This window comes from Homo sapiens, chromosome 7, assembly GCF_000001405.40.
Source record: "Homo sapiens chromosome 7, GRCh38.p14 Primary Assembly".
In the NCBI taxonomy this organism is placed as follows: Eukaryota; Metazoa; Chordata; class Mammalia; order Primates; family Hominidae; genus Homo; species Homo sapiens.
The window spans coordinates 23,808,861-23,832,999 of record NC_000007.14 but is presented as its reverse complement, the minus strand read 5'-3'; the positions used below and the strand labels follow the sequence as shown (position 1 = coordinate 23,832,999).

The 24,139-nt window shown below is 37.2% G+C and overlaps 1 protein-coding gene and 1 pseudogene across 9 annotated transcripts in view, besides 1 other annotated feature; one reads left to right on the top strand and one right to left on the bottom strand.

Annotated features, from left to right (window-relative positions):
• Positions 1–486: 486 nt before the first annotated feature.
• Positions 487–24,139, bottom strand: part of STK31 (serine/threonine kinase 31) — a 122,432-nt gene continuing 98,779 nt past the window's right edge. For 8 of the 9 annotated variants that reach the window (NR_048542.2, XM_011515452.4, XM_011515449.4 and 5 more), the window contains 2 exons: positions 17,788–17,856; positions 487–864 (listed from right to left, as the gene is read on the bottom strand). Coding sequence is in view for 8 of the 9 variants with exons in the window: in XM_011515452.4 (XP_011513754.2) it covers positions 634–864; positions 17,788–17,856 (300 nt within the window). In the remaining variant the exon portion in view is untranslated. The remainder of the gene's footprint in view (positions 865–17,787; positions 17,857–24,139) is intronic. The other variant, NM_001260505.2, reaches the window with a different exon arrangement.
• Positions 4,607–5,107: an enhancer, noted in NCBI's record as "H3K4me1 hESC enhancer chr7:23867512-23868012 (GRCh37/hg19 assembly coordinates)". NCBI's record gives its function as "activates a minimal SCP1, AML or CMV promoter by ChIP-STARR-seq in naive H9 embryonic stem cells {active_cell/tissue: H9 hESC(naive)}" and the evidence as "EXISTENCE:reporter gene assay evidence [ECO:0000049][PMID:30033119]".
• On the top strand, positions 21,358–21,761 carry TPT1P7 (TPT1 pseudogene 7; annotated as a pseudogene).

Sequence of the window (24,139 nt, the reverse complement as noted above, 5' to 3'; positions counted from 1 at the left end):
CAACCTCCGCCTGTTACCCAGTTCCAAAGTCACTTCCACATTTTTGGGTATCTTTACAGCAGCACCCCACTCATAGTACCAATTTACTTTATTAGTCTGTTCTCATGCTGCTAACAGACAAACGTGAGACTGGATAATTTATAAAGGGAAGAGGTTTAATGGACTCACCGTTGCTCACATGGCTGGGGAGGCCTCACAATTGTGGTGGAAGGTGAAGGAAGAGTAACAGCATGTCTTACTGGTAACAGGCAAAAAGCTTGTGTAGGGCAATTCCCCTTTATAAAACCATCAGATCTCATGAGACTTGCTCACTACCATGAGAACAGTATGGGAAAAACCTGCCCCCATGATTCAATTACCTCCCACCAGGTCCCTCTCACAACACGTGGGGATTATGGGAATTACAATTCAAAATGAAATGTGAGTGGGGACACAGCCAAACCATATCAAACTCCAAGTAAACTAAAGTTCAAAGCATACAAACTATTTTGTGCATAGCCAAACATCTTTATTTTTCACAACCTGAATACTAAAGATACAACTCAACTAGTCCCAGAACATTTCTAGATATTTCTGTGTATTAACCAAACCAAAGTTTTTAAAAAGAACCTCTGCAACAACAACAATAATAATTTAACAATCAAAGTTGGCTTCACCATTTCTTGTCTTCTCCATACATTTATCCAAGTTCTCCGTCTTTATTTCTTCTTCCTTTTTATATAGGGTGTATTCAGTATCTTTTTCTGGGTTTGGAACTGATTGCTCCTTTGGCATCAAGAAACATTCAGCATTTAAAACTTGTTCAGCAGTCATTGAACTTCTATAACATATCAAGCTACAGAGGAGGGATTTGACTTTATCATCCTGCAAGGAAAAACAGGTGTTACAAAACAAAGGAACAAAAGGACAAATCTGTAATGAAGAAGGAAGTGGACTTATTTTTTCAATAAATACAGTCAGGAAGGAGGGGTTTCAAGATGACTGACGAGGTATCTGGTACTCCCCTCAACAAAAAAAAACACCAAAATAATGAGCCGATAATCACACTGCAAATAGATCATCTGGCTGGGCACAGTGGCTTATGCCTGTAATCCCAGCACTTTGGGAGGCCGTGGTGGGGGGAATCACCTGAGGTCACCTGCGGTCAGGAGTTCAAGACTAGCCTGGCCAACACAGTGAAACCCCGTCTCTACTAAGAGAGTTGTATACTTGGAAGTGAAAGAACAATATCTACCATTACAAAACACATATAAACTCCACTGGTAAAACAAACACACAAATAAAAGAAATAATTCAAGTGTTACCACGACAGAAAACCACCAAACCACAATGAATAAGAGAGAAAATAAGAAACAAAAGATACACAAAACAACCAGAATCAATTAATACAATGACAGAAATTAACCCTCATGCATGTATCAATGACAGCCTTGAATGTAAACCAGTTAAACTTTCCACCTAAAAGATATAGACTGGTTGAAAGGAGTTTTTCTTTTTTTTAAATGACCCAATTGTATGCTGCAAAAAGATGGGAAAAGATGTTCCATACAAAAGGAAACCAAAAGCAAGCAGGTGTAACTATACTTGTATCAGGTAAGACAGACTTTAAGTCAAAAAGAGCAAAAAGTGACAAAGAAGGTCATTATATAATAATAAAGGGATCAATTCAGCAAGAGAATGTAACAATTCTAAACATATACATGGATCCAACAACAGAGCACCCAGATATATAAATCAAATATTATTAGATCTAAAGGGAGAAACAGACTCCACCCAACTCTCACCACTAGACAGATAATCTAGAGAGAAAATTAATTTTAAAAAAACTGATTTTACACTGCACTTAAAAACCAAATTAACCTAACAGATATTTACAGAACACTTTACCCAACAGCAACAGAATACACATACTTCTCATAAGCATATGGAACATTCTATAGGAAACGACCATATCTTAAGCCACAAAACAAAGCTCAAAAAATGTTTTAAAATTAAAATCATATCCAGTATCATCTCAGACCACAATGGAAAACTAAAAATCAACAAGAGAAACTGAAAACTATACAAACGCATGGAAATTGGCCAGGCACGGTGGCTCATGCCTATAATCCCAGCTCTTTGGGAGGTGGAGGCAGGTGGATCACTTAAGGTCAGGAGTTTGAGACCAGCCTGGCTGACATGGTGAAACCTCGTCTCTACTAAAAATACAAACATTAGATGAGTGTGGTGGCAGACACCTATAATCTCAGCTACTCAAGAGGCTGAGGCAGGAGAATTGCTTGTACCCATGAGGCAGAAGTTGCAGTGAGATGAGATCACACCACTGCACTCCAGCCTGGGCAACAGAGTGAGACCCCCAGCTCAAAAACAACACACACACACACACACACACACACACACACACACAACATGGAAATTAAACAACGTGCTGCTGAATGACCACTGGGTCAAGGAAGAAATTAAAGAGGGAATTAGAAAATGTCTTCGAGCAATCACTGGTTCAAGGAAGAAGTTAAAGAGGGAATAAGAAAATGTCTTAGAACAATTGAAAATCAAAGCAACATAACAAAACTGATGAGATATAGCAAAAGCAGTGAGAAAAGAGAAGTTTATAGCAATAAATTCTTCTATCAAAAAAGGAGTAAGATTACAAATAAACAACCTGATACATATTAGTAGAAAACGAAGAATAACGATGGGAGCAGAACTAAGTGAAATACACTAAAAAAAATACAAAGGATCCACAAAAAAAATTTTTTTAAAAGATAAACAAAATCAATAAACTGCTAGCTGTACTAAAACTTTAAAAAAGCTGCAATAAACACAATCAGAAATGAAAAAGAAGACACTATGCCTGATATCACAAAAATACAAAACATAAAATTAGCTAGGCGTTGTGGCGGGCGCCTGTAGTCCCAGCTACGTGGAAGGCTGAGGCAGGAGAATGGCATGAACCCGGGAGGCGGAGCTTGCAGTGAGCCAAGATTGCACCACTGTACTCCAGCCTGGGCAACAGAGGGAGACTCTGTCTCAAAACAAACAAACAAAAAAATACAAAACATAAAGACTATTATGAATAACTATACATGAACAACTGGAAAACCTAGAGGAAATATATAAATTCCTGGACACATACAACCTACCAGGTTTGAATCAGTAAGAAATAGAAAACATGAACAGACCAGTAACAAGTAACGGGATTTGGTCAGTAAGAGAAAGTCTCCCAACATAGAAAAGTCCAGGACCACAGAGCTTCACTGCTGAATTCTACTGAACTTTCAAAGAACTAACATCAATTATCCTCAAACTACTGCAAAGGTTCAAGAGGCGAGAATTCTCCCTAACTTGTTCTACAAGGCCCAGCCCACCATTACCTTGATACCAAAACCAGACAAGGACACAACAACAACAAAAAACTATAGACCAGTATCCCTGATGAACACAGATGCAAAATTTTTCAACAAAATACTACCAATCCGAATCCAACAGCACATCAAAAACATAATACACCATGATTAATTAGCATTTATCCCAGGGATGCTAGGATGGTTCAACACACCCAAATCAGCGACATGATCCATCACATCAACTGAACAAAGAGCAAAAACCATATGGCAAACGATCTCAATAGACACAGAAAAAGTATTTCATAGATTAAAACATCCCTTTATGATAAAAGCTCTCAACAAACTAGGTATATAAGTAACACACCTCAACAAAATAAAGCCTATCTGTAACAAAGCCACAGCTAACATCATTACTAAATGGGGAAAAGAAAAGCAATCCTCTAGTGAGACACAGTGGCTCACGCCTGTAATCCCATCACTTTGGGAGGCCGAGGTGGGCACATCACGTGAGGTCAGGAGTTCAAGATCAGCCTGACCAACACAGTGAAACCTCGTCTCTACTAAAAAATACAAAAAAAAAAAAAATTTGCTGGGCATCATGGCGGGCGCCTGTAATCCCAGCTACTTGGCAAGGCTGAGGCAAGAGAACTGCTTGAACCCAGGAGGTGGAGGTTGCAGCGCGCTGAGATCACGCCACTGCACTCCAGCTGGGCAACACGAACGAAACTCCATCTCAAAAAAAAAGAAAAACAAAAAAAAAGAAAGAAAAAGAAAAACATTCCTCTAAAGAACTGGAACAAGACAAGGATCTCCACTTTCACCACTTCTCTTCAACACAGTCCTGGAAGTCCTAGTCAGAACAATCAGGCAAGAAAAATAAAAGGAATCCAAATTGAAAAAGAACAAGTCAGGGGGTGGAGCCAAGATGGCCGAATAGGAACAGCTCCAGTCTACAGCTCCCAGCGTGAGCGACGCAGAAGACGGGTGATTTCTGCATTTCCAACTGAGGTAACGGGTTCATCTCACTGGGGAGTGCCGGACAGTGGGTGCAGGACAGTGGGTGCAGCGCACCATGCGTGAGCTGAAGCAGGGCGAGGCATCGCCTCACCCGGGAAGCGCAAGGGGTCAGGGAATTCCCTTTCCTAGTCAAAGAAAGGGGCGACAGATGGCACCTGGAAAATCGGGTCACTCCCACCCTAATACTGCGCTTTTCCAATGGGCTTAACAAACGGCACACCAGGAGATTATATCCGGCACATGGCTCGGAAGGTCCTACGCCCAAGGAGCCTCGCTCATTGCTAGCACAGCAATCTCAGATCAAACTGCAAGGCGGCAGCGAGGCTGGGGGAGGGGTGCCTGCCATTGCTCAGGCTTGAGTAGGTAAACAAAGTGGCTGGGAAGCTCAAACTGGGTGGAGCCCACCACAGCTCAAAGAGGCCTCCCTGCCTCTGTAGGCTCCACCTCTGGGGGCAGGGCACAGACAAACAAAAGACAGCAATAACCTCTGCAGACTTAAGTGTCCCTGTCTGACAGCTTTGAAGAGAGTAGTGGTTCTCCCAGCACACAGCTGGAGATCTGAGAACAGGCAGACTGCCTCCTCAAGTGGGTCCCTGACTCCCGAGTAGCCTAACTGGGAGGCACCCCCCAGTACGGGTGGACTGACACCTCACACAGCCGGGTACTCCTCTGAGACAAAACTCCCAGAGGAACGATCAGGCAGCAGCATTTGTGGTTCACCAGTATCCACTGTTCTGCAGCCACCACTGCTGATACCTAGACAAACAGGGTCTGGAGTGGACCTCCAGTAAACTACAACAGACCTGCAGCAGAGGGTCCTGACTGTTAGAAGGAAAACTAACAAACAGAAAGGACATCCACACCAAAAACCCATCTGTACGTCACCATCATCAAAGACCAAAGGTAGATAAAACCACAAAGATGGGGAAAAAACAGAGCAGAAAAACCGGAAACTCTAAAAATCAGAGCCTCTCCTCCGACAAAGGAACGCAGCTCCTCACCAGCAACTGAACAAAGCTGGACAGAGAATGACTTTGACGAGTTGAGAGAGGAAGGCTTCAGAAGATCAAACTACTCCAAGCTAAAGGAGGAAGTTCGAACCAATGGCAAAGAAGTTAAAAACTTTGAAAAAAATAAGACAAATGGATAACTAGAATAACCAATGCAGAGAAGTCCTTAAAGGACCTCATGGAGCTGAAAACCATGGCACGAGAAATACATGACGAATGCACAAGACTCAGTAACCGACGCGATCAACTGGAAGAAAGGGTATCAGTGACGGAAGATGAAATGAATGAAATGAAGTGTGAAGAGAAGTTTAGAGAAAAAAGAATAAAAAGAAATGAACAAAGCCTCCAAGAAATATGGGACTACGTGAAAAGACCAAATCTACGTCTAATTGGTGTACCTCAAAGTGACGAAGAGAATGGAACCAAGTTGGAAAACACTCTTCAGCATATTATCCAGGAGAACTTCCCCAACCTAGCAAGGCAGGCCAACATTCAAATTCAGGAAATACAGAGAATGCCACAAAGATACTCCTCAAGAAGAGCAACTCCAAGACACATAATTGTCAGATTCACCAAAGTTGAAATGAAGGAAAAAATGTTAACGGCAGCCAGAGTTTAGAAAGGTCGGGTAACCCACAAAGGGAAGCCCATCAGACTAACAGTGAATCTCTCAGCAGAAACTCTACAAGCCAGAAGAGAGTGGGGGCCAATATTCAACATTCTTAAAGAAAAGAATTTTCAACCCAGAATTTCATATCCAGCCAAACTAAGCTTCATAAATGAAGGAGAAATAAAATACTTTACAGACAAGCAAATGCTGAGAGATTTTGTCACCACCAGACCTGCCCTAAAAGAGCTCGTGAAGGAAGCACTAAACATGGAACAACAGGTACCAGCCACTGCAAAAACATGCCAAATTGTAAAGACCATCAAGGCTAGGAAGAAACTGCATCAACTAACAAGCAAAATAACCAGCTAACATCATAATGACAGGATCAAATTCACACATAACAATATTAATCTTAAATGTAAATGGGCTAAATGCTTCAATTAAAAGGCACAGACTGGCAAACTGGATAAAGAGTCAAGACCCATCAGTGTGCTGTATTCAGGAAACCCATCTCACGTGCAGAGACACACATAGGCTCAAAATAAAGGGATGGAGGAAGATCTGCCAAGCAAATGGAAAACAAAAAAAGGCAGGGGTTGCAATCCTAGTCTCAGATAAAACAGACTTTAAACCAACAAAGATCAAAAGAGACAAAGAAGGCCATTACATAATGTTAAAGGGATCAATTCAACAAGAAGAACTAACTATCCTAAATATATATGCACCCAATACAGGAGGACCCAGATTCATAAAGCAAGTCCTGAGTGACCTACAAAGAGACTTAGGCTCCCACACAATAATAATGGGAGACTTTAACACCCCACTGTCAACATTAGGCAGACCAACAAGACAGAAAGTTAACAAGGATATCCAGGAATTGAACTCAGCTCTGCACCAAGAGGACCTAATAGACATCTACAGAACTCTCCACCCCAAATCAACAGAATATACATTCTTTTCAGCACCACACCACACCTATTCCAAAATTGACCACATACTTGGAAGTAAAGCTCTCCTCAGCAAATGTAAAAGAACATAAATTATAACAAACTGTCTCTCAGACCACAGTGCAATGAACTAGAACTCAGGATTAAGAAACTCACTCAAAACCACTCAACTACATGGAAACTGAACAACCTGCTCCTGAATGACTACTGAGCACATAACGAAATGAAGGCAGAAATAAAGATGTTCTTTGAAACCAACGAGAACAAAGACACAACATACCAGAATCTCTGGGACACATTCAAAGCAGTGTGTAGAGGGAAATGTATAGCACTAAATGCCCATAAGAGAAAGCAGGAAAGATCTAAAATTGACACCCTAACATCACAATTAAAAGAACTAGAGGAGCAAGAGCAAACACCTTCAAAAGCTAGCAGAAGGCAAGAAATAACTAAGATTAGAGCAGAACTGAAGTACATATAGACACAAAAAACCCTTCAAAAAATCAATGAATCCAGGAGCTGGTTTTTTGAAAAGATCAACAAAATTGATAAACTGCTAGCAAGACTAATAAAGAAGAAAAGAGAGAAGAATCAAATAGATGCAATAAAAAATGACAAAGGGGATATCACCAGTGATCCCACAGAAATACAAACTACCATCAGAGAATACTATAAACACCTCTACGCAAATAAACTAGAAAATCTAGAAGAAATGGTTGAATTCCTCGACACATACACACTCCCAAGACTAAGCCAGGAAGAAGTTGAATCTCTGAATAGACCAATAACAGGCTCTGAAATTGAGGCAATAATTAACAGCTTACCAACCAAAAAAAGTCCAGGACCAGATGGATTCACAGCTAAATTCTACCAGAGGTAAAAGGAGGAGCTGGTACCATTCCTTCTGAAACTATTCCAATCAATAGAAAAAGAGGGAATCCTCCCTAACTCATTTTATGAGGCCAGCATCATCCTGATACCAAAGCCGGGCAGAGACACAACCAAAAAAGACAATTTTAGACCAATATTCTTGATGAACATTGATGCAAAAATCCTCAATAAAATACTGGCAAACCGAATCCAGCAACACATCAAAAAGCTTACCCACCATGATCAAGTGGGCTTCATCCCTGGGATGCAAGGCTGGTTCAACATATGAAAATCAATAAACGTAATCCAGCATATAAACAGAACCAAAGACAAAAACCACATGATTATCTCAATAGATGCAGAAAAGGCCTTTGACAAAATTCAACAACGCTTCATGCTAAAGACTCTCAATAAATTAGGTATTGATGGGATGTATCTTAAAATAATAAGAGGTATCTATGACAAACCCACAGCCAATATCATACTGAATGTACAAAAACTGGAAGCATTCCCTTTGAAAACTGGCACAAGACAGGGATGCCCTCTCTCACCACTCCTATTCAACATAGTGTTGGAAGTTCTGGCCAGGGCAATCAGGCAGGAGAAGGAAGAAAGGGCATTCAATTAGGAAAAGAGGAAGTCCAATTGTCCCTGTTTGCAGATGACATGATTGTATATCTAGAAAACCCCATCATCTCAGCCCAAAATCTCCTTAAGCTGATAAGCAACTTCAGCAAAGTCTCAGGATACAAAATCAATGTGCAAAAATCACAAGCATTCTTATACACCAATAACAAACAAACAGAGAGTCAAATCATCAGTGAACTCCCATTCACAATTGCTTCAAAGAGAATAAAATACCTAAGAATCCAACTTACAAGGGATGTGAAGGACCTCTCCAAGGAGAACTACAAACCACTGCTCAATGAAGTAAAAGAGGATACAAAGAAATGGAAGAACATTCCATGCTCATGGGTAGGAAGAATCAATATCGAGAAAATGGCCATACTGCCCAAGGTAATTTATAGATTCAATGCCATCCCCATCGAGCTACCAATGACTTTCTTCACAGAATTGGAAAAAACTACTTTAAAGTTCATATGGAACCAACAAAGAGCCCGCATTGCCAAGTCAATCCTAAGCCAAAAGAACAAAGCTGGAGGCATCACGCTACCTGACTTCAAACTATACTACAAGGCTACAGTAACCAAAATAGCATGATACTGGTACCAAAACAGAGACATAGACCAATGGAACAGAACAGAGGCCTCAGAAATAATACCACACACCTACAACTACCTGATCTTTGACAAACCTGACAAAAACAAGCAATGGGGAAAGGATTCCCTATTTAATAAATGGTGCTGGGACCACTGGCTAGCCGTATATAGAAAGCTGAAACTGGATCCCTTCCTTACACCTTATACAAAAATTAATTCAAGATGGATTAAAGACTTACATGTTAGACCTAAAACTATAAAAACCCTAGAAGAATAACTAGGCAATACCATTCAGGACATAGGCATGGACAAGGACTTCATGTCTAAAACACCAAAAGCAATGGCAACAAAAGTCAAAATTGACAAATGGGATCTAATTAAACTAAAGAGCTTCTGCACAGCAAAAGAAACCACCATCAGAGTGAACAAGCAACCTACAAAATGGGAGAAAATTTTTGCAACCTACTCATCTGACAAAGGGCTAATATCCAGAATCTACAATGAACTCAAACAAATTTACAAGAAAAAAACAAACAACCCCATCAAAAAGTGGATGAAGGATATGAACAGACACTTCTCAAAAGAAGACATTTATGCAGCCAAAAAACACATGAAAAAATGCTCATCATCACTGGCCATCAGAGAAATGCAAATCAAAACCACAATGAGATACCATCTCACACCAGTTAGAATGGTGATCATTAAAAAGTCAGGAAACAACAGGTGCTGGAGATGATGTGGAGAAACAGGAACACTTTTACACTGTTGGTGGGACTGTAAACTAGTTCAACCATTGTGGAAGTCGGTGTGGCAATTCCTCAGGGATCTAGAACTAGAAATACCATTTGACCCAGCCATCCCATTACTGGGTATATACCCAAATGATTATAAATCATGCTGCTATAAAGACACATGCACACATACGTTTATTGCGGCACTATTCACAATAGCAAAGACTTGAAACCAACCCAAATGTCCAACAATGATAGGCTGGATTAAGAAAATGTGGCACATATACACCATGGAATACTATGCAGCCATAAAAAAGGATGAGTTCATGTCCTTTGTAGGGACATGGATGAAGCTGGAAACCATCATTCTCAGCAAACTATCGCAAGGACAAAAAACCGAACACCACATATTCTCACTCACAGGTGGGAACTGAACAATGAGAACACATGGACACAGGAAGGGGAACATCACATACCGGGGACTGTTGTGGGGTGGTGGGAGGGACAGCATTAGGAGATACACCTAATGCTAAATGACGAGTTAATGGGTGCAGCACACCAACATGGCACATGTGTACATATGTAACAAACCTGCACGTTGTGCACATGTATCCTAAAACTTAAAGTATAATAATAATAAAAAAAGAAAAAGAAAAAGTCAAACTGTCCCTCTTTGCAGATGACATAATCTTCTATCTAGAAAAACCTAAAGACTCCACCAAAAAGCTTTTAGATCTGATTAATATAGTAAATCGCAGGATATAGAATCAACATGTAAAAATCAGTAGCATTTCTATAAACCAATAATGAACTAGCTAAGAAAGACATCAAGAAAGTAATCCCATTTACAACAGCTACAAAATAAATATATTACCTAGGAAGAAATTTAAACAGAGAGGTGGAAGATATCTACAAAGAAAGCTACAAAACACTGATGAAAGAAACTGAAAAGGACACTAACAAATGGAAAGACACTCCATGCTCCTGGATCAGAAGATTAGTATTGTTAAAATGCCCATACTACCCAAAGAAATCTACAGATTCAAAGCAATCCCTATCAAAATAGCAATGTAATTTTTCACATAAATAGAAAAAAATCCTAAATTTCATGTAGAACTAAAAAAGAGCACAAATAGTCAAAACAGTTATCAGCAAAAAGAACAAAGGTGGAGGCATCACACTGACTTCAAAATATCTTACAAGGCTATAGTAACCAACACAGCGTTTTATTAGTATAGAAATAGATATATGCACCTATAGAATAGAATTGAAACCCCAGAAATAAACAGCCAACCAATTTCCCACAAAGGCACCAAGAACATATACTGGGGAAAAGACACCCACTTCAATAAATGGTGCTGGGAAAACTGGATAGCCATACGCAAAAGAGTAAGAGTAGACCCTCACCTCTCACCATATATAAAAATCAATTCAAGATTGATTAAAGACTTAAATGTAAAACCCAAGACTATAAAAATACTAGAAGAAAACATAAGGGAAACACTTCATGACATTGGCCTAGGCAAAGATTTTTATGGCTAAGACCTCAAAAGCACAGGCAACAAAAACAAAAAGAGACAAATGGGACTATACTTAACTAAAATGCTTCTGCACAGCAAAGGAAATAATCAACAGAGTGTAAGAGACAATTTGTTGAATTGAAGGAAAAATTTGCAAACTATTCATCCAACACAGGACTAATATCCAGAATATACAAGAAACTCGACAGGGAAAACAATTCCATTAAAAAGTGGGCAAAGGACATAAATAGACATTTCTCAAAAGAAGGCATACAAATGACCAATAAGTATATGAAAAATGCTCAACATCACTAATCATCAGAGAAATGCAAATCAAAACCACAATGAAGTATCATTTTACATCAGCTAGAATGCCACTATTTTAAAAAATGACAAAAAATAGCCAAATACTATTTTGAAAAATCTCCACAAAGATGTGGAGAACAGGAAACTGTTATACATTGTTAGTGGAAATGTAAATTAGTATAGCCACTATGGAAAATAGTACAAATATTTTCCAAAAAACTAAAAATGGAACTATCATACAATCCAGTAATCCCACTACTTGATAGTTATCAAAATAAAAAGGAAATCAGTATATGAAACCTGCATCCCCATGTTTATTGCAGCACTATTCACAATTACAAAGGTAAGGACTCAACCTAAGTGTCAAAATATTTGATATTCATCAAAATAAAAAGGAAATCAGTATATGAAACCTGCACCCCCATGTTTACTGCAGCACTATTCACAATTACAAAGGTAAGGACTCCAACCTAAGCGTCCATCAATGGACAAATGGAAAAAGACAATGTGGAACACTATTAAAGAAATATAAAGAAAATGTGGAATACTGTTCAACCATAAAAAAGGAATTAAATTCTGTCATTTTCAGCAACAAGGATGGAACAGTCATTCTGTAAAGTGAAATAAGCCAGGCACAGAAAGACAAATATCAAATGTTCTCACTCATATGTCGGAGCTATAACAGTTGATCTCATAGAGGTAGAGTTGAATGACAGATACCAGAGACTAAGAGAATGTGGGTGAGGTGGAAGGGGGTGAAGAGAGTTGTTTAATGGGTACAAACAACCAGGTTGACAGAAGAAATAAGTACTAGTGATTGATAGCAGAGTAGGATGACTCCAGTTAACAATGTATTAAATATTTCAAAATAGCCAGAAGAGAGGACTTGATATGTTCCCAAAACATAGAAATAATAAATAAGATAATGGATACCCTAAATACCGACTGTCATTAACACATTCCATACAAGTTACAAAATATCACATATACCCCATAAATATGTACAAATATTATGTATCAATATGAAATAAGTAAGTACAGTCAGCACTCCCTATCTGCAGTTTCCACATCTGCAACCAAACAGATCAAAAACACAGTATTCTCAGGACTCAACACCCACAGATACAAAGGGCTGATTTTTCATATGCATAGGTTCCACTGGGCCAACTGTAGGACTTGGGTATGCGTAGATTTTATCTGTACCAATCCCCTGTGTATACAGAGGGACGACTGTACTTTTTGGTGAAATGGAATGCCTCCAATACTGAAACAATGGAATTGAATTATGGGGAAAAAGTGTAAAAGGAAAAAAATCATAGCTGAAATCTCTCAAAAACAAGTGAAATACGAACAAATAAATTTTATTACTTCCTTCTCCCTCTTTTAACAAGGTACTGGTCAGAATTTGACACTATTAAAATGTCACACTGAAGCTTCTCTGTCTGGAAGGGTAAATTTCTTCATCTAGTCAACTATTTCTGGTTTTGGTTTTTAAGTGATCACTCTCTAGGATCACCTCTACTGCTGCTATCATTATCACCATCATTATGGGAGCTAGAATTTATTATATCCCTCCATTTCAAAGGACATTATTTGTATTAGAACATGTAAATGATCCTGTAATGTTGCTATTCCATTATTTGACACCTTAGTATACCTTTTATTTGCCTCTTATGATTACTCCAACCAAAGCACATATCAGACTGAATAAAAATAATCTGTTTAACTGCTGGTCAGGCAGGCACTTTGGGAGGCCAAGGCAAGTGGATCATTGAGGCCAGGAGTTTAAGATCAGCCTGGCCAACATGGCAAAACTCTGTCTCAACCAAAAATACAAAAATTAGCTGGGCATGGTGGCGCATGCCAGTAATCCCAGCTACTCAAGCTGCTGAGGCAGGAGAATCGCTTGAACCTGGGAGGCAGAGGTTGCAGTGGCTGAGATCGTGCCCCTGCACTTCAGCCTTGGCAACCAAGCAAGACTGTCTCAAAAAAAAAAAAAAAGGAAAGAAATCATCTGTTTACTGCTAGTGTCTGCATTACACTCTAAGATCCTTAAGATTTGAAATTTTAGTTTGTCACTTCATCTCCAGAAAGTAGCAAAAAACAGTATCTGAATATAGCAGACATTCAGTAAATATTTGATAAATGAATGAATGCCAATGTCTGTACTCTACAGAATATGTTTTTAAGAACATTTAAAGATAGTTACCTTCCCTAGGTGCAAACAATTAAATATTACAAAATCCAAATGAGAAAAAATAACACATGCTCCTGAAAACCACAAAAGTAGATCAGGAACAAAAGTCTTATTATGGTCTTCAACAAAAATGACTCTCATAACAAATGGGACAATTTTCCCTAAGTTGACTTAAAAAGTTTATATTAATCCAATAAAAATATAATTTTTTTCCTTGAGACCAAACAAGTTAATTATAAAGATGTCTTAGAAGAATGACAACCAAGAATAGCCATGAAAGCTGATTTTAAAAATAGCAATGAGGGCCAGCAGTGGCTCACACCTGTAATCCCAGAACTTTGGGAGGCTGAGGCAGGTGGATCACTTGAGGTCAAGAGTTCAAGACCAACCTGGCCAAAATGGCAAAACCCCATCTCTACTAAAAATACAAAAATTAGCCAGGTGTGGTGGCATGTGACTGTAGTACCAGCTACTCGGGAGGCTGAGGCACGAGAATCACTTGAACCTGGGAGGCAGAGGCTGCAGTGAGCTGAGATCGTGCCACTGCACTCCAACCTGGGACTTCGGACTTTATTTTTTTGTTGCTTTTTGTTGTTTTTTTTTTTAACAAAACAAAAAAGCAGTGAAGAAGGAACTAGCCCTATAAGTATTAAAAAGCTACTATAAAGTCTATTTTAGTTAAATGAGTGAGGCACTGGGATATGAATAAACAAACCAATGGGATAGAAAAACTAAAAATATACCCCTGTACATACAAAATTTTCTGCCTGAACACACTGATCAATCTTACTGTGACAATCAAACACCAAATGATCCCCCTCATATGACACAATAATATAAAATATACTGCCTGTAAAAACTGAATGTAAATTTAATTAACCTCTGTATCTACCACTTTTTTCAACTGGGGAAAAGAGAACTATGAAATAATACCATAAGGATGCAATCAGCCAACTCCAAAGTATGGAAAATGAAATCATTTTTTTCACATAATACATGGCATGGAGAAAAAGAGTTGTGGGGGAACTTTATAGCTCAACAGAGATTAAGAGATATATTAACCCAATACAGGTAGATCTTGTTGATATGCTAATTTCAAAAAAGCAACCATTTAAAAATATATTTAAGACAATTAGGGAAATTTAAATATAATATTACAATTTGTTAATTTTATAAGGTGTGATAACTGTGTAATATATGTTGTAAACTAAATCTAAAGCAAGCAGAAGGATAGAAATAATAAAGATTAGAAAGTAAGAAAATAGACAACAGAAAAACAATACAGAAAAATTAATAAAACCAAAAGCTAGGTATTTAAACTTATTTGGACTAACGAAGAAAAAAAAGAGAGAAGACTGAAACTGCCAGAATCTGAAATGAAAAAGGGGACACTACTGAACTTAGAGAAATAAAAATAATTATAAAGAAAATATGTACAACTGTATGCCAACAAGCTAGATAACTTAAATGGAATGGACCAACTTTTAGACACAAACTACCAAAATCAGCATTACTCTACTTAAGCAGAGGCTGAAGGCCATCTCTTGGGGATATTATTGGAGGGATTCTGAAGGATGAGAAGGGTGTATTAATTATCCTCTAATAACTCTCTCAACTACATGGTTCCATACATTTATATTCTTCTCCATTTGTGGTATGGTATCTGTAAGGTGCTGACTACAGAGCCTTGACTTGTTTTGCAGCTATGTGTGAACACAAAATGTAGGTAAAGGTAATTCCATTCCCAGCACTAATAACTGACTCAGATCACAGAAGCAAATACTATACAAGCCAAGATTTTTATAATTTGAACTTGCTTATTACTCAATTTATAAATCTTGCTTACTTGTTCAAATTTCTAAATTATTAATCTCATTTTCAATGCCACAATCCTTGAATCCATGAGTAGCTACCCACATTAAACGGGGACTGTGTATTTACATTTACTTTCATTATACATATACCTAGCTGCATGCCTAGCAAGGCATGATTACTTGCAGATTACAGGCAGATTATTATTATTATTTTTTTTTTTTTGAGACAAAGTCTTGTTCTGTCGCCCAGGCTGGAGTGCAATGGCACAATCTCGGCTCACTGCAACCTCTGCCTCCCAGGTTCAAGTGATTCTCCTGCCTCAGATTCCCAAGTAGCTGGGACTACAGGCACCCGCCAGCACATCCAGCTAATTTTTTTGTATTTTTAGTACAGACAGGGTTTCACCATGTTGGGCAGGCTGGTCCTGAACTTCTGACCTCAGTTGATCTGCCCACCTCGGCCTCCCAAAGTGCTGGGATTACAGGCGTGAGCCACCATGCCTGGCCAGATTACATTTTAGAGTAAGCAGACTTCTAAGATTGCCCCAAGACCCCAACCTTCTGTTATTCATAACTTTACATAATTCTTTCCTCTTGGACCTAGAGAATTGCTTTAGAGAGAATACTATCAAAAACTATGGGATATCACTTATATGATTTTGCTATGAAAAACTGTGACTTCTGTCTTAGTGAACAGAGTCTACTGCCTTCTCTGCGTATACATTTCAATGAAACACGCTGCCATGATGGAAACAGGGCAAAGGATTGAGGGCAACCTCTGGCCAACAACTAGAGAACAACTGAGGTCCTCATTCTAATAAACTGAAAGAAACAGAATCCTATGAACAAACATGTGAGGTTAGAGGCATATTCATCTCCAATCGAGCTTTAAGATGACTGTAGCCCAGCCAACATCTTAACTGCAACCTTAAATTAACTGAAGCAGAAATCCCAAATAAGCTGTGTCCAGATTCCTGACTCACGAAACTGTAATATAAGTTTTAAGTTTAAACTAAATTTCAGGATAACTTGGTACAAGGTAATTTTTCTATCAAACCTGAAAGCAAGGGTTCTGGATGTGCACTTTTGGTGAAGTTGTAACCTCTAATACAGAATTTCTGGTATTTTTCTATCTAATAGCAATAAATTTTTATCATAGCCTTTTCAAAACTGTAAACCATAGTCAACCTTCTTTGTTATCCCCTTCCACAGAGATAATCAGGAAGTGTAACACAAAGTTTTATAATCTCACAAAAGTTGTCTGAAATGCTTTTTACTGCTACCCAAGAAGTGTGGCAAAGCTCCTTAATATCATTTCTAAGGTATGTTTTTTTAAAATGATTTCGTGGGACATTAGAAGGTATTATACAATATTTGTGTGGTCAAATAAGGAACTACTGAGTTTAACAAAATTATATGTACTCTTTCATTGTAATCTTAACTCAAAATAGCTAAGAACTTCCAGAGTCTGATCATTATACTCTTATAGACTCATTTACTGCCATATTTATCCTCTTTATATCTAGTCATACTGAATTCCCCCTTTCTTTGCAGAACTAAAAATCAGCTTCCCCCCAAGTACTTTTTTTAGGGGCTTCATTATTTTTAAATCTTTATGGGCATACTTATGAAGTACATGAGATATTTTAATACAAGCATATGATGTGTAATAATCAAATCAGGGTAAATGGAGTACCCCCAAAGTACTTGCTAATTACTCAACTTATAGATGTTAATCACTTACTTGTTCACATTTCTAAATTATTCATTTCATTCTCAATGCCACAATCCTTGTAATCCTAGCACCTGGTTCAATTCCTATCACAGAAATAGCTACTCAAAATATGTTGGCTGAATACATATGTGAATGACAAAGATATAGTTAGGTACTTACAAAAAACTAAGTTATAATAAAACATTATTTTACTATAATATGATCTTGAAACACATAGTAAACAATATTCTTCCCTAATTGTTAGATTATTTATATAATCTGTGTGACAAACAACCCAGCAGAGTAACCCTGGTGTATTAATTAAGTGGTGTTAAGTAGGGCACCTGAATTTTTTTCAATACTTCATTTATTGCAAATGTTAATTTGGATTCTTAGAAAAACTGGAGGACAACTTTCAGTCAGATATCTAAGTTTATATTACTGCATGTGTTTCAAACCAGTAAATGTCAAAAAGGTCACATACCAGATGAAACTGATCCACTTTGGGGATTCCATCTTTATTTATCTCAAACTCCTGATTTTGAACAGAAAGCTGTGAAAGAAAGTAAGAATGAATAAATGTCCAATGTATTAATACGCCAATCTATAGAAGAGTCAACTCTGGAACTTCAGATCCTGGTGACTAGAAAAGAGCTTACTTAAAGAAAGCACATTAACTCTCTTACAGGGTAAAAGCACTTTCATTCTAATTACAAGCAACCAAATGGTTCCTGGGGCTCCTAAAGTACCGATCAGAGGGGATGTACACACTATAAACACTTTAATATTTCCTCACCTTATAAGAAAACGTGTTAGAACTTGGTAGCCTATATTATGTTAGCCTCACCAATACTCAAAAATTAGGTACAAAGAAAATAAATCAGGCAAGTTTCTTTCTACCATAATATCTAAACTTTGTTCAAGAAATATAAGCTAAACTTAAAAAAAAACTTCAGAAATCAGGGGGATGCAAAAAATAAATTAATTAAATTTAATTTAAAAACATGGAGAATTTTTTACATACACAAAGGTATTCTGAGTCCCACATATTCATCCCCTAGCCCTAACAACCATCAGCCAATGACCACTCTTACCCTATGAACAAACGCATATATATTATCTTTGAGGCAAATCCTATGTATTTCATAATTTCACCTATAAATATCTTAGTACATATCTCTAAGAGACAGTCTTTTATTTTTACACAATCATATCATTATAGGAAAAATACTTTTATACAAAATACCTAGCTTTCAAAATTTGAGTAATCTCATATCAAATTAGTTTACTTTTTTAGTTTATTTAAATCCAGATCCAAATAAGTTCCACCCATTGCAATTAAAAAATGAGCAAAAGGGCTTTTGGTCTCTTCCTGTTCCTCTCCATTAAGTACAATTATAAAACCTGAAAATACCATAAAATATAACCAAAGGAAAACACTGAAAGGTTTAAAAAAGGAAGAAAAACTAGTTGAAGACCCCAGGACTAGAGGAACAACATAGTAACAGGTTGTCTTATAACCCTCCCAACTGAAAAAAAAAAAAAAATAAGTGAGCCAGATCTGATGTTTCCCAACTCCTAAGCCTGCAACAGAAAGCAGCCCAGGTAGATTCATTCTTCTCTTGAATTTAATAGGATTGCCATCAACACCACCATGTGAGGCCAGAAGAAACAGCAAGAAGGTTCAACTGGAAACCTCCCTGTCAATAAGCAGCCAGGGGAAGCATTCACCATCCTCAGCAGCAGCACCACCTGAGACACCAACGAGGCCACAGGCACCAACAAAGGAAAACCACACCACAAGCAGCTGGTCCAGTAAATACACTCTGACACCCATAAGTAGGGGGATCCCACCATAACAAGGGATGGTTCTGGAGGTATTCTGCATCGGTCATAGGAAAGGAGAGATCCTGCCACAACTAGCACCCAGCTCAAGAAGCTTCATCCCATAGACCAGGGTCTCCATTCCCATACTTAGAAGCACCAGGCAGTTCAGCCTTGAAAAGTTCCTTTCATTCCCTCAAACACCATCAGCAGGGACCACTGGAGGCCCAGCAGCACGCAACAACTCAAGCAGATCAAAATATAACTGAAAAGTTTCTGAAAATTAGATTGTCGTTAAAACCACAGTTCAAAAAGTAGTCCAGGACCTCTGTTTAAACCTAAACAAGGTGACTGCCTGCTAAAATAAAATTTTCAGTAGGACCCAGAATCTATTAAAATAGTATCCAAAATGTCCAAGATAAAATTAAAAATCACTTGTCATACAAAGTACCAGGAAAACCACAACTTCAACGAGAAACTGCAATCAACACCACAATGAATCACATAATTATCTGACAAGAACTTTCAAGCAATGGTCATAAAATGCTTCAACAAACAATTATAATTTCTCTAAGGTAAATAAAAAGAAATTTCAGCAAAGAAAAAAGTTATTAAAAAGAATCACATGAAAGTTACAGAACTACAAAGTACAATAACCGAAATCTTAAAACTGGATGGGATAAATTGAAATGACAGAAATGACAGAAGACAAAATCAGTGAACTTCAGAACAGATCAATACAATCTGCTCAGCCTGATCAGAGAGAAAACAGACAAAAAAAAAAAAAAAAAAAAGAACAGAGAGCCTCAAGGACCTGTGAGACAATAACAAAAGATCCAACTTTCAGAGTCTCAGAAGAAAAGGAAAAAAATAATGGGGCTAAAGGAGTATTTTAAAATAGTGACTACAGATGAGTGAGTAAAGAAACGGTGGTGTGTATGTATGTGTGTGAGTACACATATACACATACATACATATGTACACACACATGCATACAACAGAATATTCAGCAATAAAAAAGAATAAAATCATATCTTTTGCAGCAACATGGATGGAATCGGAAGCCATTATCTTAAGTGAAACAACTCAAAATCAGAAAGCCCAATACTGCATTTTCTCACTTATAAGTAGGAGCTAAATAAAATGTGCATATGGACACAGAATGTCGAATAAAAGTCACTGAAGATTCGAAAAGGTGGGAGGGTGGGAAAGGGGTGGGGTATGAGAAATTACTTAATGAGTACAATGTACACTGTTCAAAATTACACTAAAAGCCCAGACTTCACCATTAAACAATATACCTGTGTAACAAAACTGCACTTGTTCTCCCTAAATCTAGAGAAATTTAATAAAAAAAAGTTTAAGAAAATAATGGTTGAAAAGTTCCCAAATTTTGAAGAAGATTAAAGAAGATGTGCAAACCCCAAATAGAAAAAAATCTTAAAAAAAAAAAAAAAAAGGAAAGGAATGAAAAAAGATGTTTGGGAAAACTAAAGACAAAGAAAAAATCTTGAAAGCAACCACAGAGAAATAAAACACTACCTATAAGAAATACTACCTTGTATGATAAACGTTTATCATATGAAATTATGGAGACCGAAGGAAGTAGCACATTTTTCAACTTTTAAAAGAAAATAACTCTCAACCACCACAAATTCTATGTCCAGTAAAACTATCCATCAGTAATGAAAGTGAAATCAAGATGTTCTCAAATAAGGGAAAACGAAAGGAATTTGTCACTAGACACAATCTTAAAGAGTGGCTAAAGGAAGTACTTCAAACAAAAAGAAAATAATTTTTTAAAGGAGTCTTGGAGCATCAGGAAGGAAGAAATAACAATGGAAAAAAACAGAAATATGACTAATACCACAGACTATCCTTCTCATCATGAGTTTTCTAATCATATATGATGATCCAAACCAAAATTACACCACCATCTGATACTCAAGACAATGATATTTAAAAGTGGGGAGAATAAAGGAACCTCAAAGGAAGTGAGGTTTCTATACTTCACTCAAAATGGTGAAATGCTGACATCACTAGAATGTAATAAGCCACATATGTATATTGTAATACCCAAACCAACCACTAGGAAAACTGTAAGAGGCAATACACTCAAAAACACAATATACTTTTCTGGATGCTTCCTATTCCCTGGAGTGCCTTTCCAACTGCACCATACTTGCTCCAAGCTCCAGGCTTCTGCTATAAGCGAGCACTGCTATCATCTACCTCCAGCCACCATCATGATTATCTCTGACAATTACAAGATCTGAGATACTGCAAACAGGCTGTGCCTGGAGGGGGAGAGGAAGATGGTCAGTAAGACATAGGGTAATATTGATGACTTGCTCATTGGTGGAAATGCCTCTACTGAAGGACCCAAGGGTGAAGGTACTGAAAGCACAGTAATCACTGGTATTGATATTGTCATGAACCATCACTTGCAGCAAGCTGGCTTCATAAAAGAAGCCTACAAGATGTATATGAAAGATTACATTAAATCAATCAAAGGCAAACTTGAAGAATGAAGACCAGAAAGAGTAAAACCTTTTATGGCAGAAGCTGCAGAACAAATCAAGCACATACTTGCTAATTTCAAAAACTACCAGTCCTTTACTGGTGAAAACATCAATCTAGATGGCACAGTTGCTCTGCTAAACTACTGTAAGGATGATGTGACCCTATATGTGATTTTCTTTATGGATGATTTAGAAATGGAAAAAAATTAACAAATCTGGCAATTACTTTGGATCTATCACCTGTCATCATAAATGGCAGGTGCTTATCATCTACACAACACCCGGCCTTTAGACAAATGGGAATAATGTCATCTTGAGTTTTTCATTTATTTTGACCATATTTATCTGGAGTACAGGTGTTGTTTAAAAAAAATAAGACATCATGTAGGTGTGTGTGTGTGTGTGTGTGTATATACACACACACATATATACATATATTTTATGTATATTTATATATAAATATATATTATACATATTTATATATAATATATATTTATACATATTTATATACAAATATATATTTATACATATTTATATACAAATATATATACATATTTATATATTTATATATAATATATATTTATATATTATATATTATATATATCTATTTTATATATATCTATTTTATATATATCTATTTTATATATATCTATTTTATATATAATATCTATTTTATATATATTATATATTTTTATATATATAATTTATATATTTTATATCTATTATATATATTATATATATATATATATAAAAAGATGGACTCTTAAAATTTTTTCAAGTAATGCACAGGAAGGGAAAAAAAGAAAAAGAAACAAGAAACAAACAAAACCAGTAATACAATGGTAGAAAATTTTTTCAAGTAATGCACAGGAAGGGAAAAAAAGAAAAAGAAACAAGAAACAAACAAAACCAGTAATACAATGGTAGATTTAAGCCCTAAAATATCAATAATTACCCTAAATGTAAATGGCCTAAAAACCCCAATTAAAAGACAGAGATCAGCAAGAGTAAATAAAAAACAATGCAACTATATGTTATTTACAAGAAACTTACTCCAAATTCAACAATGTAGGTACCTTTGGAGTAAACGGATGGCAGAAGATATACCATGCAAACATTAATGTTGAAACACAAGAATGGCTGTAATATCAGACAAAGTAGACATTAGAGCAAAGAAAATTACTACAGAAAAAGAAGGATATTACATAATGATAAAAGTATCAATCTACTAAGAGGACATAACAATCCTAAATATGTACATATTATACAAGATGACCTTAAACCACAAGATAGAGTTGAAAGGAGAAATAGGCAAGTCTACAATTATAGCCAGGGACTTCAACTCTCAGTAACTGACAAAACAACAGTCGTGCTGTTTAACAGCAGGAATACATAACAGGAATATATTCTCAGAAATGCATCATGAGGCAATTTCATCCTTGTGTGAACATCATAACAAATGTACTTACACAAACCTAGATGATATATCCTACCACACACCTAGGCTATACATGTAGCCTACCGCTCCAAGGTTACAACCCCATATTGTATGTTACGGTACTGAATTACTTGCACTGGGGAAGGAGCACTTTAATTCTCTGAAATAGGAGGCAAAGATAGAAGACTGGGTAAACAGATAATGTAGTCCCTTGAACAATGTAGATTTGAACTGTGTTGGCCCACTAACATGCAGATTTTTTTCAACCAAACATGGATGGAAAAATACACTATTAATAAGACATAAAGCCTGCATATATAAAAGGTCCACTTTTCGTATTAGCAGGTTCCACAATACTCACAGTGGGACTTTGCGCAGATTTTGGCATATGTGGGGGTCCCGAAACCAATTCCCTGTGTATACTGAGGGATGACTGTAATTTGTAAGTGCTCAAATTTGATGAAAAGCACATAACATGATCTCAAGTTTTTCAGTAAAATAAGAAGTAAGATCATCTGAGAAGAATGAGGATAGGATTTAAGTGGAGAATTGATGAAAAGGTTTAAAATAATTGTTGAGAGGAATGTGAGAATGAGGTGGCTGTGAGGAGGTCAAAGAACCAAAAGAAAGCACCAAGGGCTCAATTAAAGTAATGCAGTGCAACAGCATTCAGCTCCCAAGGTACAAGAGCATGCAAGGGGTTCCAGCCAAGGAGTAGTCACATTTCACATCAACCTTTCCTCTTAAAAAAAACAAACAACTCTAGCTATAATACAACACAGGAAAACCCTAAAAGATGGAAAGAAGAAGGTGAAGTAGCTAGGACCTTGCCACTTGAGGAACAATATAATGGTGAGTTCCCTGGGCTTTCTTTTTGCCCCCCTATATCTCTGATGGGGTCCTTGAGAAGTCTGCCACCCAGAAATGCCAACAGACACAGGCACACACACACACACACACACACACACAAAAGCTCCAAGAAAAGCCTGCTTCCTGTAGCCACAGGACTGGGAAGAGGGTGGCCTAGCAGAACAGAAAACTGTAATAGGTAA